Source organism: Homo sapiens, chromosome 14 (genome assembly GCF_000001405.40).
Source record: "Homo sapiens chromosome 14, GRCh38.p14 Primary Assembly".
NCBI lineage: Eukaryota > Metazoa > Chordata > Mammalia > Primates > Hominidae > Homo > Homo sapiens.
Window position 1 is genome coordinate 21,970,549 of NC_000014.9, and position 21,451 is coordinate 21,991,999.

The following is a 21,451-nucleotide window of genomic DNA, read 5'->3' on the forward strand; positions in this document are numbered from 1 at the left end:
AGACTAATAAAGAAGAAAAGAGAGAAGAATCAAATAGACATAACATGAAATGATAAAGGGGATATCACCACTGATCCCACAGAAATACAAACTACCATCAGAGAATACTATGAACACTTCTACACACAAAACAATAGGAAATCTAGAAGAAATGGATAAATGTGTGGACACATATACCCTCCGAAGACTAAACCAGGAAGAAGTAGACCAATAACACATTCTGAAATTGAGGCAGTAATTAATAGCCTACTAACCAAAAAAAGCCTATGACCACATGGATTCACAGCCAAATTCTACCAGAGGTACAAAGAAGAGCTGGTACCATTCCTTCTGAAAGTATTCCAAACAATAGAAAAAGAGGGAATACTCCCAAACTCATTTTATGAGGCCAGCATCATTCTGATATCAAAACCTGACAGAGACACAACAAAAAAAGAAATTTTCAGGCCAATATCCCTGATGAACATCCATGCAAACATCTTCAATAAAATATTGGCAAACTGAATCCAACGGCCCATCAAAAAGCTTATCCACTACGATCAAGTTGGCTTTATCCCTGGGATGCAAGGCTGGTTCAACATACACAAATCAATAAACGTAATCCATCACATAAACAGAACCAATGACAAAAACCACATGATTATCTCAATAGATGCAGAAAAGACCTTTGATAAAATTCAACATCCCTTCATGCTAAAAACTCTCAATAAGCTAGGTATTAATGGAACATATCTCAAAATAATAAGAGCTATTTATAGCAAACCCATAGCCAATATCATACTGAATGGGTGAAACCTGGAAGCATTCCCTTTGAAAACCGGCACAAGACAAGGATGGCCTCTCTTACCACTCCTATTCAATATAGTATTGGAAGTTCTGGCCAGAGCAATCAGGAAAGAGAAAGAAATAGAGAGTATTCAAATAGGAAGAGAGGAAGTCAAATTGTCTCTATTTGCAGATGACATGATTGTATATTTAGAAAACCCCATAGTCTCAGTCCCAAAACTCCTTGAGCTGATAAGCAACTTCAGCAAAGTCTCAGGATACAAAATCAATGTGCAAAAATCACAAGCATTCCTGTATACTAACAATAGACAAGCAGAGAGCCAAAGCATGAGTGAACTCCCATTCACAATTGCTACAAAGGGAATAAAATATCTAGGAATACAACTTACAAGGGATGTGAAGGATCTCTTCAAGGAGAACTACAAACCACTGCTCAAGGAAATAAGAGAGGGCACACACACACAAAAAGAAAAAAACTCCATGTTCATGGATAGGAAGAATCAATATCATTAAAATGGCCATAGTGCCCAAAGTAATTTATAGATTCAATGCTATTCCATGAAGTTACCAGTGACTTTCTTTACTGAATTAGAAAAAACTACTTTAAATTTCATACAGAACCAAAAAAGAGCCCGTATAGTCAAGACAATCCTAAGCAAAATGAATGAAGCTGGAGGCATCATGCTACTTGACTTCAAACTATGCTACAAGTCTACAGTAACCAAAACAGCACGGTACTGGTACCAAAACAGATATATAGACCAATAGAACAGAACAGAGACCTCAGAAAGAACACCACACATCTACAACCATCTGGTTTTTGACAAAGCTGACAAAAACAAGCAATATGAAAAGGGGAAAGAATTACCTATTTAATAAATCGTGTTGGGAAAACTAGCTAGCCATATGCAGAAAACAGAAACCGGATCCCTTCCTTATACCTTATACAAAAATTAACTCAAGATGGATTAAAGACTAAAATGTAAAACCCCAAACCATAAAACCTCTAGCAGAATACTTAGGCAATACCATTCAGGACATAGGCATTGGCAAAGTCTTCATGACTAAAACACTAAAAGCAATTGCAACAAAAGCCAAAATAGACAAATGGGATCTAATAAAACTAAAAAGCTTCTGCACAGCAAAAGAAACTATCATCAGAATCAACAGGCAACCTACAGAATGGGAGAAAATTTCTGCAATCTATCCATCTGTCAAAGGTTTAATATCCAGAATCTACAAGGAACTTAAACAAATTTACAAGAAAAAAAACCAAACAACCCCATCAAAAAGTGGGAGAAAGATATGGACACTTCTCAAAAGAAGACATGTATGTGACCAAAAAACATATGAAAAAAAGCTCGTCATCACTGGTCATTAGAGAAAGGCAAATCAAAACCACAGCGAGATACCATCTCATGCCAGTTAGAATGGCGATTATTAAAAAGCCAGGAAACAACAGACGCCGGTGAGGATGTAGAGAAATAGGAACACTTTTACACTGTTGGTGGGAGTGTAAATTAGTTCAACCATTGTGGAAGACAGTGTGGTGATTCCTCAAGGATCTAGAACCAGAAATACCATTTGATCCAGCGAACCCATTACTGGATATATACTCAAAGGATTATAAATCATTCTACTATAAAGACACATGCACACGTATGTTTATTGAAGCACTATTTATAATAGCAATAGCCTACCGTAGTAAATAGCAATAGCCTACCCTAGTAAAGTTTAATATTTTGAATGAAATATATTATGTTGTCTTACATATGAAAAGAAAATCTACAGGCAGAATCAAGGAATAGGTCAGAAGTGCAAGGGAGAACTGATTTCCCACTGGCATGAGTCAACAGAGTACACAGAAAGGAAGGAGTTTGTTTTGACCTTTGAAAAGAATTCTTGTTAGCCGGTTCTTATTTCACCTGAGTTTTTTTCTTTATTTGATTTTTTCAATTTTAGGATCCAATGATCTCTATGCTAAAATAAGTTGGGTGAGGAAGTCTTTTCATTCAAGAATTTCATCTTCTTAGGCCATAGAGTTGACTGCTCTGGTTCAATGCATCCTGTCTCCCACCCACAGGGGACTGCTTCTTGCCTAGCTCTGTTGAGTATCACTGTCAACCTATCCTAAGTCTTCTATACCTCCCATTTTCTTGGTCATCTCATTTCTTGTCTGCTGGTTGCACTCCTCCCAGCTTTACTGAGTTCACGTAGGCTTACTTTTCTTTCTGTATCTTTAATTCTTCCCATAATTACTTATTTATATGTTATATTTTATTACCTTCATTATTCTGCTCAAATTTCTCCATAAATGGGCTTCTGTTGATGTTCTTTTTAAGGCGAGATACCATAATTTGGCATAATGTATCAGTCTATTCTGAGCGTTGATAATTCAAATGGGACTTTTCTCTAAGTTTTTTCTCCTAGCCTTACAAACATCAAACTTGATTTGAAACCAAGAAGTCTTTTTCACAATTTCTGCTTCACAAAGAAAATTATTACCTATTAGTTTGCATTGACTAATTAGCTAATGACACGTGATCCAGGCTGATTTTAAGTATGAGTCTCTAGTCATTTTTTTTTTCCTTTAGCACCTAATAAAAGAGAAATCTCTTCCATCCACTCTAATGCTCATGTGAATCCACTAGCACAGTGCCACACGAAGCTTAGCTAAGCCTGAGGCAATTGATCTTCTCCCCTCTCCTTGATGAGTGCCTCTAAAAAATAACATAGAGCATCTTAATGGTATTCCAAAATCTGGAATATTGCCTTCTGTGACTAATTTCTCAGTGAAGTAAATTACTTTTCTAGTTTTACATAACTCCAATTTCTTATCTATTTTTTGAGGGGAAAAACATTTTTATTTTCTAATTTTTAAATTTTATTTCTTTCAACTGTTATTTTAGAATCAGGAGTACATGTGCAGGTTTGTAACAGAGGCATATTGCATGATGCTGAAGTTTGGACTATGAATGCATTGTCGCTCAGGTTGTGAGCATAGTTCCTAATAGTTTTCAGTCCTTTTCTCCTTCCCTCTCTTCCCACTCTAGTAGTACCCAGTGTCTATTGTGACTATCTTTATGTTCATGTGTAGCTAGTGTTTAGCCCCCACCTATAAGTGAGAACATGCAGTATTTAGTTTTCTGCTTCTGCATTAATTCCTTTCAGATAATGGCCTCTAGCTGCATACTTGTTGCTGCAAAGGACAGGATTTCATTTTTCTATGGTTGCATAGAAGTCCATGGTGTATATGTGCCACATTTTCTTCATCCAATCCACCACCGATTGGCACCTGAGTTGATTCCATTTCTTTGCTATTGTGAATAATGCTGTGATGAATGTATGGGTGAATGTGTCTTTTTGGTAGAAAATTTTATTTGCCTTTGGGTATATACCCAGTAATGGGATTGCTGGGTTGAATGTTAGCTCTGTTTTAAGTTCTTTGAGAAATCTCAAAACTAATCTCCACAGTAGCTGGACTAATTTATATTTCCACCAACAGTATGTAAGTGTTCCCTTTTCTACACAGCCTAGCCAACATCTATTATTCTTTGACTTTTTAAAAAAAGCCATTCTGATTGGTGTGAGATGGTATCTCATTGTGGTTTTGATTTACATTTCTCTGATGTTAAGTGATGATGAGCATTTTTTCATGTTTGTTGGCTGTATGTATGTCTTCTTTTAAGAAGTCTCTGTTCATGTCCTTTGCCTACATTTTAATGCGGTTGCTTTTTGCTTGTCGATTTGTTGAAGTTACTTTTGTTTCTTTCTTTTTTGGAAAGACAGGGTCTCACTCTGTTGCCCAGACTGGAGTGCAGTAGCATGATCCTAGCTCACTCTATCCTTAAACTCCAGGGCTCAAGGGATCCTCCTGCTTTAGCTGGGACTACAGGCACATGCCACTATGGCCAGCTGATGTTTTTCTTTTCCTTCCTTCCTTCCTCCCTTCCTTCCTTCCTTCCTTCTTCCCTCCCTCCCTCCCTTCCTTCCTCTCTTTCTCTCCTTCTCTTTCTCTTTCCTTCCTTCCTTCTTTCCTTCCTTCCTTCCTTCCTTCCTTCCTTCCTTCCTTCCTTCCTTCCTTCCTTCTTTCCTTTCTTCCTTCTTTCCTTCTTTCCTTCTTTCTCTCACTTTTTTTTTTTGAGTCAGATTCTTGCTATGCTGCCCGGGCTGGTCTTGAACCCCTGGCTTCAAGCAGTCTTCCAGCTTCAGCCACACAAAGTGTGGGGATTACAGGTATGAGCCGTCACACCCAGCTTGTTACTTATAGATTCTGGATATAAGACTTTTGTCAGATACATAGTTTGCAAATAATTTCACCCATTCTGTAGGTTGTCTGTTTACTATATTGATAGTTTATTTTCCTGTGCACAAACTACGTAGGTCACACTTTTCAAGTTTTGTTTTGGTTGCAATTGCTTTCCAGGACTTAACCATAAATTCTTTGCCAATGCCGATGGCAAAAGGGTATTTTTCTGTTTTTTTCCCCCTAAGATTTTTATAGTTTTGGGTATTACAATTAAGTCTTTAATCCATCTGGAATTAATTTTTGTGTATAGTGATGGGTTGGGGTCCAGCTTCATTCACATACACTGGTATGTGGCTAGCCAGTTATCCCCAGCACCATTTATTGACTAGAGAGTTTTTCCCAATTTCTTATTTTTGTTGACTTTGTCAAAGATCAGATGGTTGTAGGTGTGTTACTTTATTTCAGAATTTGCTATTCTGTTCCATTGGTTTATGTGCCCATTTTTATACCAGTACTATGCTGTTTTGGTTACTGTAGACTTGTAGTGTAGCTTGAAGTTGGGTAGTGTGATGCCTCCGGCTTTGTGCTTGTTGCTTAGATTGCTTTCACTATTTAGGCTCTTTTGGTTCCATATGAATTTTAGAATAGTTTTTTCCTAATTCTGTGAAAAATGGCATTAGTAGTTTGATAGGAATAGCGTTGAATCTGTAAATTGCTTTGAGTAGTATGGACATTTTAAAGATATGGATTCTCCTAATCCAGGGTATGCAATGTTTTTCCTTTTTTGTGTGCCATCTCTGATTTCTCTCAGCAGTGTTTTGTAGTTCTCTTTGTAGAGATCTTTCACATCCTTGGTTAGCTGTATTCCTAGGTATCTATTCTTTTTGTGTCTATTGCAAATGTAATTTTGTTCTTTAGTCTTTAGGACCCTGCTCAAGGTCCTGCAGCATTGCCACTGCTGAGCCATGCTCCTGCTGCTCGGCCCAGCACTCCAGTGTCCCAGCTGTCAGCTTGAACAGACAGCTCGAACATTATTGGTGTATAGCAATGCTACTGATTTTTGCAAATTTGTTTTGCATCCTGAAACTTCACTGAAATCTTTTATCAAGTCTAGGAGCCTTTCGGCAGAACCTTGAGGGTTTTTCTAGATATCAAATCATACTGTCAGCAAAGACGGATAATTTGACTGCTTCTTTCCCTGTTTGGGTACACTTTATTTTTTTCTCTTTCTTGAGTGCTCTGGCTAGGACTTCCAATACTATACTGAATAGGAGTACTGAGAGTATACATTATTTTCTTGTTCCAGTTCTCAAGGGGAATGGTTCCAGCTTTTTCCCATTGAGTATGATGTTGGCTGTTTGTCATAGGTGGCTCTTATTATTTTGTGGTATATTCCTTCCATGCTTAGTTTGTTGAGGGTTTTTATCATAAAGTGATGTTGGACTTTATTGAAAGCTGACTGCATCTATTGACATGATCATATGGTTTTGCTTTTAATTCTGTTTCTGTGGTGAATCACATTTATTGATTCGTCTATGTTGAACAAACCTTGCACCCCAGGAATGAAGCCTACTTGACCTTGAATTAACTTTTTGATGTACTGCTGGATTCAGTTTGCTAGTATTTTTGTTGAGGATTTTTACGTTTAAGTTTGTCAGGGATATTGACTGATATTTTCTTTTTTCATTGTGTCTCTGCTGGATTTTACTATCAGAATGATGCAGACTACATTGAGTGAGTTAGGAAGGAACCCTTCTCCTCAATGTTTTGGGAATAGCTTCAGTAGGATTGGTACCAGTTCTTCTTTGTACAACTGGCTGAATTCTGTTGTGAATCCATCCAGTCCAGGGGTTATTTTTGGTTGGCAGGTTTTAAAAAATTATTATTACTAACTCATTTCCAGAACTCATTATTAGTCTGTTCAGGTTTTCAATTTCTTCTTGGTTGAATATATAGAGGTTATTTTCTTCCAGGAATTTATTCGTTTTCTCCAGGTTTTCTAATTTTTATGAATAGTGGTGTTCCTAGTATTCTCTTAGGGTCTTTTGTATTTCTATGGGATCAATTGTAATGTCTCCTTTGTCATTTCTGATTGTGCTTATTTGGAACTTCTCTCTTATTTTCTTCATTAACCTACTTAGTGGTGTATCAATCTTGTTTATTCTTCCTGAAAGACAACTTTTGGTTTTATTGATCCTCTGTATGGATTTTCAAGTCTCAATTTTGTTCAGTTCTTTTCTGATTTTGTTTATTTATTTTCTTCTGCTAGCTTTTGGCTTTGTTTGTTCTTCTTTTTCTAGTCCTTCTAATTGTGATGCTAGAATGCTCACTTGAGATCTTTCTAATTTCTTGATATAAGTATTTAGCAGTATAAACTTTCCTATTAACACCTTTAGCTGCAAACCAAAGACTCTGGAATTTTGTCTTTCTGTTTTCATTAATTTTTGCTCTACTTTGTTGTTTACCCAAAAGTCATTGAGGAGCAAGTTGTTTAATTTCCGTGTAACTGTGTGGTTTTGAGAGATCTCCTTGGTAATGATTTCCATTTTTATTACACTGTGGTCCAAGATTATGCTTGGTATGATTTTGGTATTTTTGAATTTATTGCAATTTGCTTTATGGCTTCAATTTCTCAATAATTTTGAGATTAATATCATGTACTATACAGAAGGTAACATCATCACAGATTCAGGAGGAAAGAAACGCTTTCTGTTGAAGTTTTGATATCATGTCTGAAATGAGAAGGAAACAGCTTGCTCCCTTGGATCCGTGGTTCCTCCTGTTGCCTCTAGAGGGCGATGTTGCATCAAGTAGGCATCTGTTTTCATCGCAGACCATCCTCATCCATTGAGCCTCCTCCCTGTAGCTGGCTGATGTAGCTCGTTGATGTCTGTGTGGATAGGGAGCTGTGACGAGAGCAAGAGGTCAGAACACATCCAGGCTCCTTAAGGGAAAGCCTCTTTCTGTTTCTGAAACTTTTCAAAGCCAGGGACTTGTCCAATCCAACCTCCTCACAGTTCCTAGCTCCTGAGGCTCAGCGCCCTTGGCTTCTGTCCGCCCAGCTTAAGGTCCTGCAGCATTGCCACTGCTCAGCCATGCTCCTGCTGCTCGTCCCAGCGTTCCAGGTGATTTTTACCCTGGGTGAGTAACATTCCATTCTTTTTCCTTCCACAGAAGTGACTGTGTTGTAACTGAATCTAAATTGAGACACATTTTTTACTCAAACAGCATTGATGTTGCAGGAGGAACCAGAGCCCAGTCTGTGACCCAGCTTGACAGCCAAGTCCCTGTCTTTGAAGAAGCCCCTGTGGAGCTGAGGTGCAACTACTCATCGTCTGTTTCAGTGTATCTCTTCTGGTATGTGCAATACCCCAACCAAGGACTCCAGCTTCTCCTGAAGTATTTATCAGGATCCACCCTGGTTGAAAGCATCAACGGTTTTGAGGCTGAATTTAACAAGAGTCAAACTTCCTTCCACTTGAGGAAACCCTCAGTCCATATAAGCGACACGGCTGAGTACTTCTGTGCTGTGAGTGACACAGTGCCTGAGACTGCAGGAGAGCTGAACACAAACCTCCTGAGATGCTGAGACTTTCTGTGACTCAAGAACTCAACCTGTGGAGCTTTCAAGAGGGTCCCTTTTTTCTGTGCCCGTTTTGAAGGCACATAGGGCAGGGTGGGCTGAGCCCTTGGTAGGGTTTGTCTCCGGAATAATTGCTCCAATGTCAATGTCATGCCACATTCAGATATGCTTTGTCCCACATGGAGGTTTCCTGATGAATTTCTTCAGTGGGGACCTCCTCCACACTCTGAAGAAAGCACATCATAAGGTGTCAGAACTCCGAAATAAAAGGCAACAACATTTTTATACAAAATTATTTCTAGCAACCATTATGATTAGTATTGCCTCAGGTGTTAACTTGTGAATAACCGATGTAATTGATTAGAATGTTAGCTAAAAGCTGTGCAGGATGGATTCTCAATTAGGGTAACCCATACAGCACAGATTCTCAATCAGTGTGCTGTAGATTCTCAACCTAGATTTGAAGCTTAACTTCTAGCACATACATAATATCCCACTGTGTGGTATTGACATATTTAAAGTAAATTAGACATAATATCAAGATTTTTAATCTTGTGAGCATTATGCAAAACAGGAAATTAAACATAAATCTTAATACAATATTGAAAAACTAAGCTGTCAAGTTGTGATCTTTTTTAAAACAGCTATTCCAGTGATTTCCAAGTTACAAACTTGAGGGATAAAAATGTAACCAATATAAAGATATCAAATACCCTAGATTCAACTACTTTAAAAACTACTTTAAAACTCCGAGGCATTTTATTTTAAGAGATTACACAGATTTATTATATAAAATTACACAACAAAAAATTCCAGTTGCATTATCAGAGAGTATATGAATTCTAATGGGCATATCCAAGACCAGGGTACCCTATTACTTACTCTGAAATAATTATATCGAAAAACCAACATGTTAAGATATTTTATGTACATGATTATTACTCCAAATTTTTATTTGTAGTTTGATCACATGGTAGAATTAAAAAATGCCTCTCAAAGTATTATAAAATGTTCACACATACAGAAGTTGTCTTCCTTAATTCAACATTTTGTAATTTTTGATGACAAAAATTATGAAATGAATCATCTCACTTCTTAAAAATATTTACAATTGCCTAAATCTCCTCTTTTAAAATGAGATGAAGTTGTATTCTTCCCTTATTATAAAACATGTGTTTAAAGTAGTTTAAAAATATTCCTATGAATTGAGCTAAAAGAGGGTAGAGGGTTTATAATAAAAAATATTTAGACTTGGCTTCTTCTCTTGCACCAAAGACTCAGGTTCTTGCTTATGGTTTCTTTGGCTGCTGACATTCTTTAGTTACTTCTTAGCGTGCCACCTCTTCCAGTTTTACTTTCGTCCTCATTTCATTTTCGTTTGTAGTTTTTCTTACAGATTTGTCTTTTCATTGTGCCTTTTATGGCCTGTTATTTTGATTATGTTCAGATTTTACAGGCCAAGAACACTTAACATGATGTCTATTTTAACAAATTTTTGAAGTGTACAACTCAGTTAACTATTGGCCCAATGTTGAATAGCAGATCTCTAGTAATTCTTCATCTTATCTGATAGAAACTTTGTACCCCTTCATCAACACCTCCCCACTTCTTCTTCCCCCAGCCCCAAGAATGGTAACCACCATTCTACTCTCTACTTCTATTAGTTTGACAGTTTTAGATATCTCATGCAGGCCTTCTATGACTGGCTTATTTCACTTAGCATAATGTCCTTAGGGTTCATCCATGTTTTTGCATGTGGCAGAATCTCCTTTTTTAAAGGTTGAAGAATATTCCATTTTATGCATATATCACATTTTCTTCATTCATCCATCAGTAGATATTTAGGTTGTTCCCATATCTTGGCTAATGTGAATAATGCGGCAGTGACCATGGGAGAGAAAATGTTTCTTCAATATCCTGAATTTAATTTTTTTGATAAATAACCAGTAGTGGGATTGCTGAATCATATGGTACATTTTTAATTCCAGGGGGAAACTCCTTACTGTTTTTCATAATTGCTGCACCATTTTGCAGCAAGGGTTCCAACTTCTCCACATTCTTATCAACATTGTTGTTGTTGTTTTATAATAGCCAACCTAAAAGGTGAGAGGTAATAACTCATTGCGATATCTAATTTATCTGGTGATTAATGATGTTGAGCAGATTTTCATATAACTTCAGCCATTTGTATGTCTTCTCTGGAGAAATATCTACTCAAATCCTTTGCCAATGTTTTAATCAAGTTATTAAAACATTGATAGTTATAGGAGTTCCCTATATATTTTGAAGATTAGCCCCTTATCAGACATATAGTTTGCAAATATTTCTTTCACTCTACATGTTGGCTTTTTTTCCTATTGATTATTTTCTTTGATGGGCAGAATCTTTTAAATTTTATAAAGTCCTGCTTATCTACGTTTGGTTTTGTTGCCAGTGCCTGTGGTGTCACATACAAGAATTGGCTGTTGCTTAGACCACATGTCATGGAGAGTTTCCCATATATTTTTCCAATAGTTTTACAGTTTTGGGTTTTACGTTTTTAATTAATATTGAGTTGATTTATGTGTATTATGTTAGCTAGAAGTCCAATTTCATTCTTTTGCAAGTGGATATTCAGTTTCCACAGCACAATTTGTTGAAGAACTACTCTTTCCCCATTATGTATCCTTGATGCCCTTGTCAAACATCAGCTGAGTGCGTATGTGTGGGTCTATTTTTCAGCTCTCTATTCTGTTCCATTGGTTCGTATGTTTGTCTTTATGATAGAACTATGATGTTTTAATTACTGTAGCTTTGTAATATATTCTGAAACCAAGAAGTGGGGTGCTTTTAGCTTTGTTTTTCTTTCTCAGGATTGTTTGAGCTATTCTGGGCCTTTTGTGTTTCCAGAGAAATTTTAGAATTAAAATTTTAGTTTTTTCTATTTCCATAAAAATTTCATTGGGATTTTGATAGGGATAGCATTGTAGATTGCTTTGGGTTGTATAAACACCTTAACAATATTAAATCTTCCAATTCATGAACATAGACTATCTTTCATTTATTTGTGCCTTCTTTAATTTTTCTTATGAATGTTTTGTTGTTTTCTGTGTACAAGCCTTTAGACTAATTAGTTAAGTTTACTTCTAAACATTTTAATCTTTTGTAGCTATAATAAATGGATTGTTTTCTGGATTTTTTTTCAGATAGTTTATTGTTAATGTGTAGAAATGGCACTGATGGGCCTGGTGTGGTGGCTTATGCCTGTAATCCCAGCACTTTGGGAGGCCAAGGCAGGCGAATCACGAGATCAGGAGTTCGAGACCAGCCTGGCCAACATGGTGAAACCCTGTCTCTACTAAAATGTAAAAAATTAGCTGGGCATGGTGGCAGGAACCTATAATCCCAGCTACTCGGGGGGCTGAGGCAGGAGAATCACTTAAACTCGGGAAGCGGAGGTTGCAGTGAGCCGAGATTGCGCCACTGCTTTCCAGCCCAGGCGACAGTGTGAGACTCTGTCTCAAAAAAAAAAAAAAAAGAAACGGCACTAATTTTTGTGTGTTGATTTTTATACCCTACAACTTTACTGGATTCATTTATTATTTCTAATAGGCTTTTTTGGTGGCGTCTTCAGGGTTTTTAATGAATTTATGTCATCTACGAACAGAAATAATTTTACTTCTTTTCTGATTTGAGTACTTTTAATTTCTTTTTCCTGTCTATTTACTCTGGCTAGGATTTCTAGTATTATCCTGAATGGAAGTGGTGAGGGTGGTTACCCTTATCTTGTTCTGATCTTAGAGGAAAAGCTTTTTTGTGTTTCACACACCACTGAGTGTGATGTTAGCTGTGGGCTTTTTATATATGGCCTTTATTATGTTGGGGGTAATTTCCCAATTTGTTGAATATTTTTATCATAAAATGTGAAGCAGGTTCACTGTGTACTGGTTACCAAGTTGTCTGAGTCCAGTGAGACAGAATACACATGCATACAACAAGGTACATGAAACAGGTTTATTGATTACAGATAAGCAAGGGACAACAGAAGCTTAGGTTTCATTGCAAACAGGTCCCCCAGGGCTCAGGAAAGCTGTCTAGGGTGGATAGGGTGTCATCTGCATGTGGCCCAGTTGTACCACACCTGAGGGACCCCAGAAATTAGCATGCCCTAGGTTTTAGACCCCTGGGTAATATGATACCCTGGGCCAAAAAGTACTGAAGGACACTGTTTCTAGGGGGTATCTGAAATACAGCCAGCCTGTTCCAGCCATTTCATTCCTGTCTGAAGATGTTACATTCCCAGTACATTCTATAGTTATTCTTATTTATTTATTTATTTATTTTTGAGACAGAGTCTCGCTCTGTCGTCCAGGCTGGAGTGCAGTGGCGCGATCTCGGCTCACTGCAAGCTCCGCCTCCCGGGTTCACACCATTCTCCTGCCTCAGCCTCCCCAGTAGCTGGGACTACAGGCGCCCGCCACCACACCCGGCTAATTTTTTTTGTATTTTCTAGTGGAGACGGGACTTCACCGTGTTAGCCAGGATGGTCTGGATCTCCTGACCTCGTGATCCACCCGCCTCGGCCTCCCAAAGTGCTGGAATTACAGGCATGAGCCACCGCGCCCAGCCCATTCTACAGTTATTCTTGAGAACCACAAACAAGAAAGTGGAGAGAACTGGGTTGGTCCAAGACCACCCAGAGAACCATCCTGCATGAAAGGATGTTGAATGTTGTCAGATTCTTTTTCTGCATCTATTGAGATGATCATGTAATTTTTATCCCTCATTGTGTTATGTAGTGTGTCACATTCATTCATTTTTATATGTTAAAACATCCTTGCATCCCAGGGATAACTTCCACTTGGTTATTGTATGTGATCCTATTAGTGAGCTATTGAATTTGGTTTGCTAGTATTTCACTGAGGATTTTTGCATCTATGTTCATCGGGAATATTGGTCTGTATACCTTCTTGTAGTGTCTTTGTCTGGCTTTGATATCAGGGTAATAATGGCTTCATAAAATAAGTTTAGAGGTATTCCCCTTTGAATTTTTTGGAAGAATTTAAGAAGGATTAGAGTTAATTCTTCTTTAAATGGTTGATAGAACTCACTAATGAAGCTGTCAGGTCTTTTGTCTTCTTTGTTAGGAGGTTTTGGATTACTGAATCAATTTCCTTACCAGTTATAAATCTGTTTAGATTTTTTTATTTCTTCATGATTCAGTCTTGGTAGGTTATATGTTTGTATAAATTTATGCATTTCTTCTAGGTTTTCCAATTTGTTGGTGTATAATTGTTTGTAATAGTCTCTTAAGATTCTTCTTATTTCTGTGGCATCCATTGTAATGTCTTCTCTTACATTTTTGGTTTATTTGAATCTTCTCTCTTCTTTTTCAGTCTAATTAAAAGATTGTCAATTTAGCTTATGTTTTCAAAACTTAGTTTTGCTTATTTTTATGTTATTTTCTACTCTATGTTTTATTTATTTCTGCTCTAATATTTATTATTTCCTTCTTTCTACTAAATTTGGACTTCACTTGTTCTTTTTTTCTAGTTCTTTGAGATGTAAAGTTATGTTTTTTGTTTGAGATCTTCCTTTTGAATTCAGGTATTTATTTCTATAAACTTCCCTATTAGTACAGCTTTTGCTCACTCTATAAATTTTGATATGTTGTGTTTTTGTGTTTGTATCTCAAAACATTTTCTAATGTGCCTTTTGATTTCTTTGACCAATTTGTTGCTCAAGAATATGATGTTTAATTTCCATATATTTTGGAATTTTCTAGTTTTGCATCTGCTATTTATTTCTAGTGTTATTCCATTCTCATTAGAAAAAATACGTGGTATGATTTCACTTTCTTAAATTTGTTGAGACTTGTTTTGCGGCTGGGCATGGTGGCTCCCACCTGTAATCTCAGCACTTTAGGAGGCTGAGGTGGGAATGCTTGAGGCCAAGAGTTTGAGACCAGTCTGGGTAACAGTGAGACTCCTTCTACACAAAAAATAGAAATATTGACCTAGTGGGGTAGTGTGCAGATACCTGTAGTCTCAGCTACTCAGGAGGCTGAGATGGGATGATCACTTGAGTCCAGGAGTTTGAGGCTGCAGTGAGTCATGATGCTGTCATTGCACTCCAGCTTGGACAACACAGTGACATCCTGCCTCAAAAAATGAAACAACGAAAACTGCCCTCTTTGTTTTCAGTGACCCTATGCATCGGGAATACACTGGGTCCTATCAGTGCTCCTTGACAGGTGTGATGGAAGCCAGTCTCTCAGGCAGCCTGTGGCAAAGCTAGAATGTTGGATGTAATGTCCAAGTCTTTCCCTCCCCAGGGAGAGGCTGAAACTGGGGCTTTCCTCTTATTTATGGGACACAGTACAGGGGGTAGGAAAATGTCAGAAACCCTCCTGTCATCTTTGATGTGGTTGGTTGCTTGCTCATTCAAGGTACTGGAGACTCTGAACTAGTTACTGGATTTTTCACAAGTGAATTGATTTATTTATTGCTATTGAATTGGTGTGTCCATCGGGGAAAAGAGGGTCCAGGGATTTCTTTTTTGCCATCTTTCTGATGTTACACCTTTCACGGACAGAATTCTTCCTGTTCTCATGGGCTTCTTTATTTGCCCTTCACCAGAACTGACCTCCTCTTGGGCATCTAGTTGAATGTGGTTTTCACTGTGGGCATGGTGGTCCTGCCTGAGTGCCAGCAGGCCACCCTGCAATGAGAGCTCCATCATACACTTTAAACTTTCCTTGATATTTCTTTTAGCTGTGCCTCTTAAGCAGTAGAAGGCTGGATATGAAAACCATTCAGATAATTTCTATATCTTAATAGAAAAATTTAGCCTTTTAAACTTATATATGCATGCATTTATGGCTACAACTAATATTTTTGAGTTATCTTACATGGCATAGTGACATTTGACATTGTAGAACACTTCCTTCCTGGAATGCTTTCTTTATTGGTTTTTAGAAATCCCACTCTTTTTTCCCTCTGCTTCAGTATTGTCAGTTGTTCCTTCTCAGTCTTTTTTGCTGTTTTTTCCCCACATTTAACTAATCTTTAAACATTGGCAAGCCTTAGAAATTTATCCTTGAAAATCTTTTTCCTCTATAAATACTTTATTCACAGCTGGTTTTATTCAGTCTCTTGGCTTTAAATCCCATTTAAATATCCAAACTTATAACTGAATCCCAGATAACTCATCTGGATTCTGGATTTGAGTATCAAATAATCTATTTGACATCTTCTTTTTGACATCCTCCACTTAATATATCTGAAAATAGTCTACTGAATTTGACCTCTATACTCACTAAGCCTTCCTTACATCCCACTCGCTTCTTGTGAACATTTCTTCATTTTGGTAAAAGACAACTCCATTTACCAAATCTTCTAATCCCCTTAGCCAAAAACTTTGAAATCATCATTGTCTTATCACTTTTCTCACATCCCCACTTGATCCACTAGGAATTCCTATCAGCCATTTCTTCAAAATATCCCCATAATCAACCAGTTCTCATGACCTTTACTGCTACCACTCTGATCCAAGCCACAGTAATCTCTTGCCTAGTTGATTGAAAGAAACCTAACTGAACTTCTTTCTTTTGCCATTGTTCCTCTTCTGTCTGTTCTCCATGCAGCAGGAGAAGCAATCTCTTTAAAACATAATTCAGATAATTTCATTTCTGTGCTCACAACTATGAAATGTCTTACCATCTCACTCAAAGGAAAACCAAATGCTTTACTATAATATACAAGTCCATTTAGCTCCCTGCCATATCTTTGACATTTGACATCAGCTACCACCTTCCTACTTACTCCCACTCTCCAGCCTCAATGCACTTATTGTTGCTCTAACATACCAATTATTTTCCTGCCTCAAGGTCTTTGCAGCTGCTCATTTCTCTGCCTTGTGTACTAGTACTCCAGGTAACCACATGGCTTATTTCTACACTTTATTCCACCAAATAGCCATGCACAAAATATTTACTGCAGATTATTTTTGTAATAGTGAAAATTAAAACACAAGATGTTTCTCAGAGAATGGCTACAGAAACTGTAATAAATCTTTACTATGGAATATTAGGAAGCAAACATGTTAACATCAATAGGTTATCAGGACATATAATTGGGTACCAAACACATTGCAAACTGCTGTGTGCTTGAAAGTTATAGTCAGACAAAAATTTAAACTGTATAAATATTGAGTATGTATTCATCCACGTGTTCTGCAATAATTTTAAATTAATAATAAAAAAATAGGCTCCAATTTCTTTCTACATCTTTGTAGAAATAGGCTCCAACTCCAATTTCTTTCTACATCTTTGTCCATTTGCTCTTCTTTCATTTTCATTTAGTAAGGGCCTCTATTCAACTCACAAGCTTATTTAGCTTCTTGATTGCATTCTGTTTTATCTTTTCTAGGAACAGACAACAATGATCATATTCTTAAATCTTTGTCTAACCATCCTTTGTTTTAAGAAATGGCTCCTTATTTCTGGGTTCATTTTGTACTTTTTGAGGTGTTACTTGATATATATGAAAACACACACATGTGCATGTTTGTCTTTCCCACTAAACTGCAATGTCTTGTGAGTAGAGAAAATGTCTTACTAATTTTTTAATTTCGTAAGACCTAGCACAAGATCTAGCTTACAGTAGACCTCAATAAATTACTAAAGACTTACTTTGAAATAAATTGGAGAAATCACATTAAACCTTGAGGAAGCAATTTGATAAAATATTTTAATATGGTAATCTCTTGTACATGGAATTTGGAGGAAGAAACCAGTTTCCTTTTTTTAAAAAAAAAAAATCACCATAAGCCTGACAGTTTTTTTGCTCTTGACAATCTGGGTGGTTCCTCAGGAAAGAATTGGGATGAAGGCTCTGGGACTCCACAGATGAGTTAGTGGGCCTGATGGTTTCAGACCACTAGGAGGCTCTCTAGGCTTTACTCTAAATGAGGAAATTTTCCCTCAAGTTCTGAGATAGCTGACTCAGCGAAAAACTGAGAGTTAGCATCAGTTAGCAAAGCATCTGAACTAGTCATATATGAAACGGACAGGGGGAGTCTCCATTTATTCATCTGCAAAGATGTTCTGTGGCTGTGATGGGTGTCACAGAGACGGTCTCCCAAGAAGACTGATCTTAGAAATCAACAAGGGAAATGATAAAGCTGGAAGCCTTACAGCTTTAATTTTTATGACTAAAACTTCTAAAATATGAGTCTCCATTCTGACTTTGAAATTATTTCAATAATTTCCACCTTCTTTTATACCTCCTTTGAAACTAGAAAAACAAGAAAAAGGAAATGAGAAGAAATGAGAAAAAAATAATGAAAATATTCAGAGAGAGGATAAAAGAGAGTAAAAGAAATAAGAGGTTGGGGGAAAAAAAGATGACACATTTAACTGAATTTCAAAATGTGGTCTATGCCTCATATAGTTTCTGTGTTGCAAGGTTAAAAAGTTCTAGAGATCTGATGCACGACAATGTGAAGATACTTACCACTACTGAATTGTACATGTTAAAATAGTCAAGATGGTAAATTTAATGTTATGTGTTTTTTTACCACAATAAAAAATGTGACCTCTACCTCTTGTTCACAGAGCAGAATTGACCAGGTGGGGCTGCAAAGTGAATGGAGAAGTGTTGGATAGAAGAAGAGAGATGGAAATAAGCTGGGGTGGCCATCATATACACGTGCTATTTCTCTATCAACCAAAGTCTCACTGGAGACATTTTATATGTTCATGATGACTATATGTCCTATGTTAACAGAATTCTCTTAATTTAATTGTATTGTATTTACTCCTTTAAGGGTGATTAAATAAACGATGCATTCGATGAGATATTCTTTCTTTGTGAGAGCTTTCTTATAAATAAAATCACAATCACTTTTCAAATCACATGTCCTGATTTTTTGGCTAAGGAAATTGGGCCACTGACCCTGATAATTTTTTCAGGCTGTACTTGATCCAGATGAGGCTCCCATTTGTCTCTGAGATATCTTTTCCCTTTCTTCACTCCCCTCCTGACTTGTCCGATTACTGGGTACTTTAAGTGGAGGCAATCCTGAGAGCATAAAAACCTAGACATTTCTGTGTCTCTAGTCAGCAGTGCGGCACTCAGCAGGGTACTGACGTCAGCAATTACGCCCGTACACTGCAGGAAAACTAGAGGAAAATCTCTTTGCTCCCTGATCTCATTGTATTCCACCTCATTTAAGTAACAGCATATCTCTTACTTTTTTCTCAGCTATTTGGAGGCCAGAGGAGAGACTTTCTCAAGAGAATTAGTTTTCTTTTTTAGAAAAAAATATATCTGCCGGAGACGCTATCTCCATGACCCATAGTTTTCTGCTCTTAATCCCGGAGCTTCTGTCTACTTGACCCCAGATTTATATCTGACCCCAAAATGGGACACCTCACTTGAGCTCTCTCAACACAGCTTGACTGGGAGCTGGAGAAAATCTTTGGTTAAGGACCAGGGATTGGGGACTCTTTCAATCTACCATTTTTCTAGAATTTCCGTCTTTCTGAGCCAAATGATTGTTCCTTTTTTTATGGCCTTCTTTTCTTTTCTTTTTTCTTTTTTTTTTTTTAAAGTGTATAGAACTAAAATCCCAAAGGGCCATTTCCTGTGTGGGGAAGGTCAGAATCAATGATGGTGGACGGAAAATAAAATAACTTGATCTGGCAATGTTTAAACATTTCACTAAAATATCTGTGTAGAAATTTAAATTTCTATGAAGTGTAATCGATCAATATTTTTTCTTATGTTTTTTGACTGTTATGCTTAGAAAATCCATCACCATTCTAAATTTATTTTAAAAATTTTTTATTTTACTTAAAATATTAAATGTTACGTCCTTTGAACTTTATTTGATAACAGGTATTAAGGTAGGCATCCTAACTTATCTGTTAACTTCCAAATGATTGTTAGGATTGCACATTTTCCCCCATTTTAACTAAGTTTCCAAATGTATTTGTATATTTGAACTTTGTATTCTACTTCATTAAGCCCTATATGTGGATTTTAAAAATAACATTCTATTGCAATTAGTATAGCATCACACTTTTACTGAGGAGGAAATTCTCATTCTCTGAATTTGAAGGCTTCCTGAAGCCTGAGTTAGCTGCAGTATTGTATTTGGCCTCTAGAGAGAGATGTTACACAAATTGAATTTGATAGCCAAAAACAACCTGATCTTTTTGAAGAATAGCTTTTGGCTATACATGCCGGGTAAACTCATCCACCTCTCTGTCAGAGTGTCTATGTGGCTGAATCGTTTCCAGAAAAGACCTCCAGAAAATAGCTTCCTGTTTCTCCACAGGTCAGACATGAAGCCCACCCTCATCTCAGTGCTTGTGATAATATTTATACTCAGTAAGTAAAGCCTCTTTTTGTTCTATTTTTCTATGGTATTCTGATTTAGAATAACTTTAATGAATATTATCCCCAGTCTGTAAGACTTTTCCTGATCCAGAATTGGTGTTATAGGAGGAACAAGAGCCCAGAGAGTGACTCAGCCCGAGAAGCTCCTCTCTGTCTTTAAAGGGGCCCCAGTGGAGCTGAAGTGCAACTATTCCTATTCTGGGAGTCCTGAACTCTTCTGGTATGTCCAGTACTCCAGACAACGCCTCCAGTTACTCTTGAGACACATCTCTAGAGAGAGCATCAAAGGCTTCACTGCTGACCTTAACAAAGGCGAGACATCTTTCCACCTGAAGAAACCATTTGCTCAAGAGGAAGACTCAGCCATGTATTACTGTGCTCTAAGTGGCACAGTAGCTGGTTTTGCAAGGAAGCAGAACACAAACCCTTTAAATACAGGAAATATTTCTTTGCAAACTCTCTGTATGGCCACAGCAGGGCATTCTTTCTCCAGAAATTAATATTGAGTTTATCTCGTAGATATTATATCATCAGTCATCAGTTAGCTATAGATTAACCTCATAATTTTGTCCAAAAAATTCTCATTATTTACCCTGCTTAAATTAAATTTAAAAATAGTAAATGTATTTATTTTGTCTAGTAGTACTGGAAACATACTTTCGAAATAAAAACTATATTGCACTGCATAAAAAGTATTCTTTTCTTTGTTCAGAGGTACTGTCCAGGCTTCCATGGTGCAGTCCTACCTCTTCAACTCCTCTGCTGCCCCACGTGATCCCCACATGTGGTTGTCACCACATACCTGAGCATAGTTCCTCAAAGTGCTCTGCTGTTTCATGGCTTATGATTGTTCATCTTTCTATATCTATTACCCTTCTTTCCATGAGTTTCATAGACTCCTCCTATCTCAATTGGTGTCCAGCCAGGAAAAAAGAAGCCCAGTGAAGTTTAATATAAAGATTTATTAAATAATAATAAGTAATTAACTACTAATGGGTAAAAAAACCTCTAAGGAATATAGGAATGCACATGTAAGCAGAAGTTCCTGTCTCTAGGACTAAGGTAGAATCCCAGGAAAGGAACAGATTGGCATAAGCATGACCCCTCCTGCCAAGGCTATGATTCAGATCTCATTGAGAGTGTGTAGCTGGAGCTTGCTGCATAGTGGAGTAGTTTGCTGAGGTGCCAGAGAAAAATACTGACAAGCAGAAAAATACCTACCAGGATTACAACACAATTCATGGGAAGCCCGCAAACGAGTGCTGCTGAACTTGCTTGTGGTGGCTGTGAAACTTGCCAAGAAACCACCTGTCGGGCTTGCTGGAGGGGAGTGCCACTGGTGTCCTACAGGCCAACGAAGCATAGTGGACAAGAAGTGTGGAAAACATACCAGAACCAGGAAGAGAAGCGTCATCCTTCTGCGGGGTCCTTCCAGCCCCCTCTACTGAC

General features: G+C 37.4%; 2 gene segments (V, D, J or C) and 1 further gene, besides 8 other annotated features; all 3 read left to right on the top strand.

Annotated features, from left to right (window-relative positions):
• Window positions 1-21,451, top strand: part of TRA (T cell receptor alpha locus) — a 930,229-nt gene that overhangs the window by 348,645 nt on the left and 560,133 nt on the right.
• Window positions 8,131-8,176: a sequence feature (TRAV8-6 leader sequence).
• Window positions 8,131-8,572, top strand: TRAV8-6 (T cell receptor alpha variable 8-6). The segment is given in 2 exon segments: window positions 8,131-8,176; window positions 8,278-8,572. Coding segments are annotated over 2 exon segments (341 nt in total), but the record flags the coding sequence as incomplete, so codon positions are not given.
• Window positions 8,278-9,288: a sequence feature (TRAV8-6 leader sequence).
• Window positions 8,580-8,601: a recombination feature (spacer).
• Window positions 8,602-8,610: a recombination feature (nonamer).
• Window positions 19,948-19,993: a sequence feature (TRAV16 leader sequence).
• Window positions 19,948-20,390, top strand: TRAV16 (T cell receptor alpha variable 16). The segment is given in 2 exon segments: window positions 19,948-19,993; window positions 20,108-20,390. Coding segments are annotated over 2 exon segments (329 nt in total), but the record flags the coding sequence as incomplete, so codon positions are not given.
• Window positions 20,108-20,118: a sequence feature (TRAV16 leader sequence).
• Window positions 20,398-20,419: a recombination feature (spacer).
• Window positions 20,420-20,428: a recombination feature (nonamer).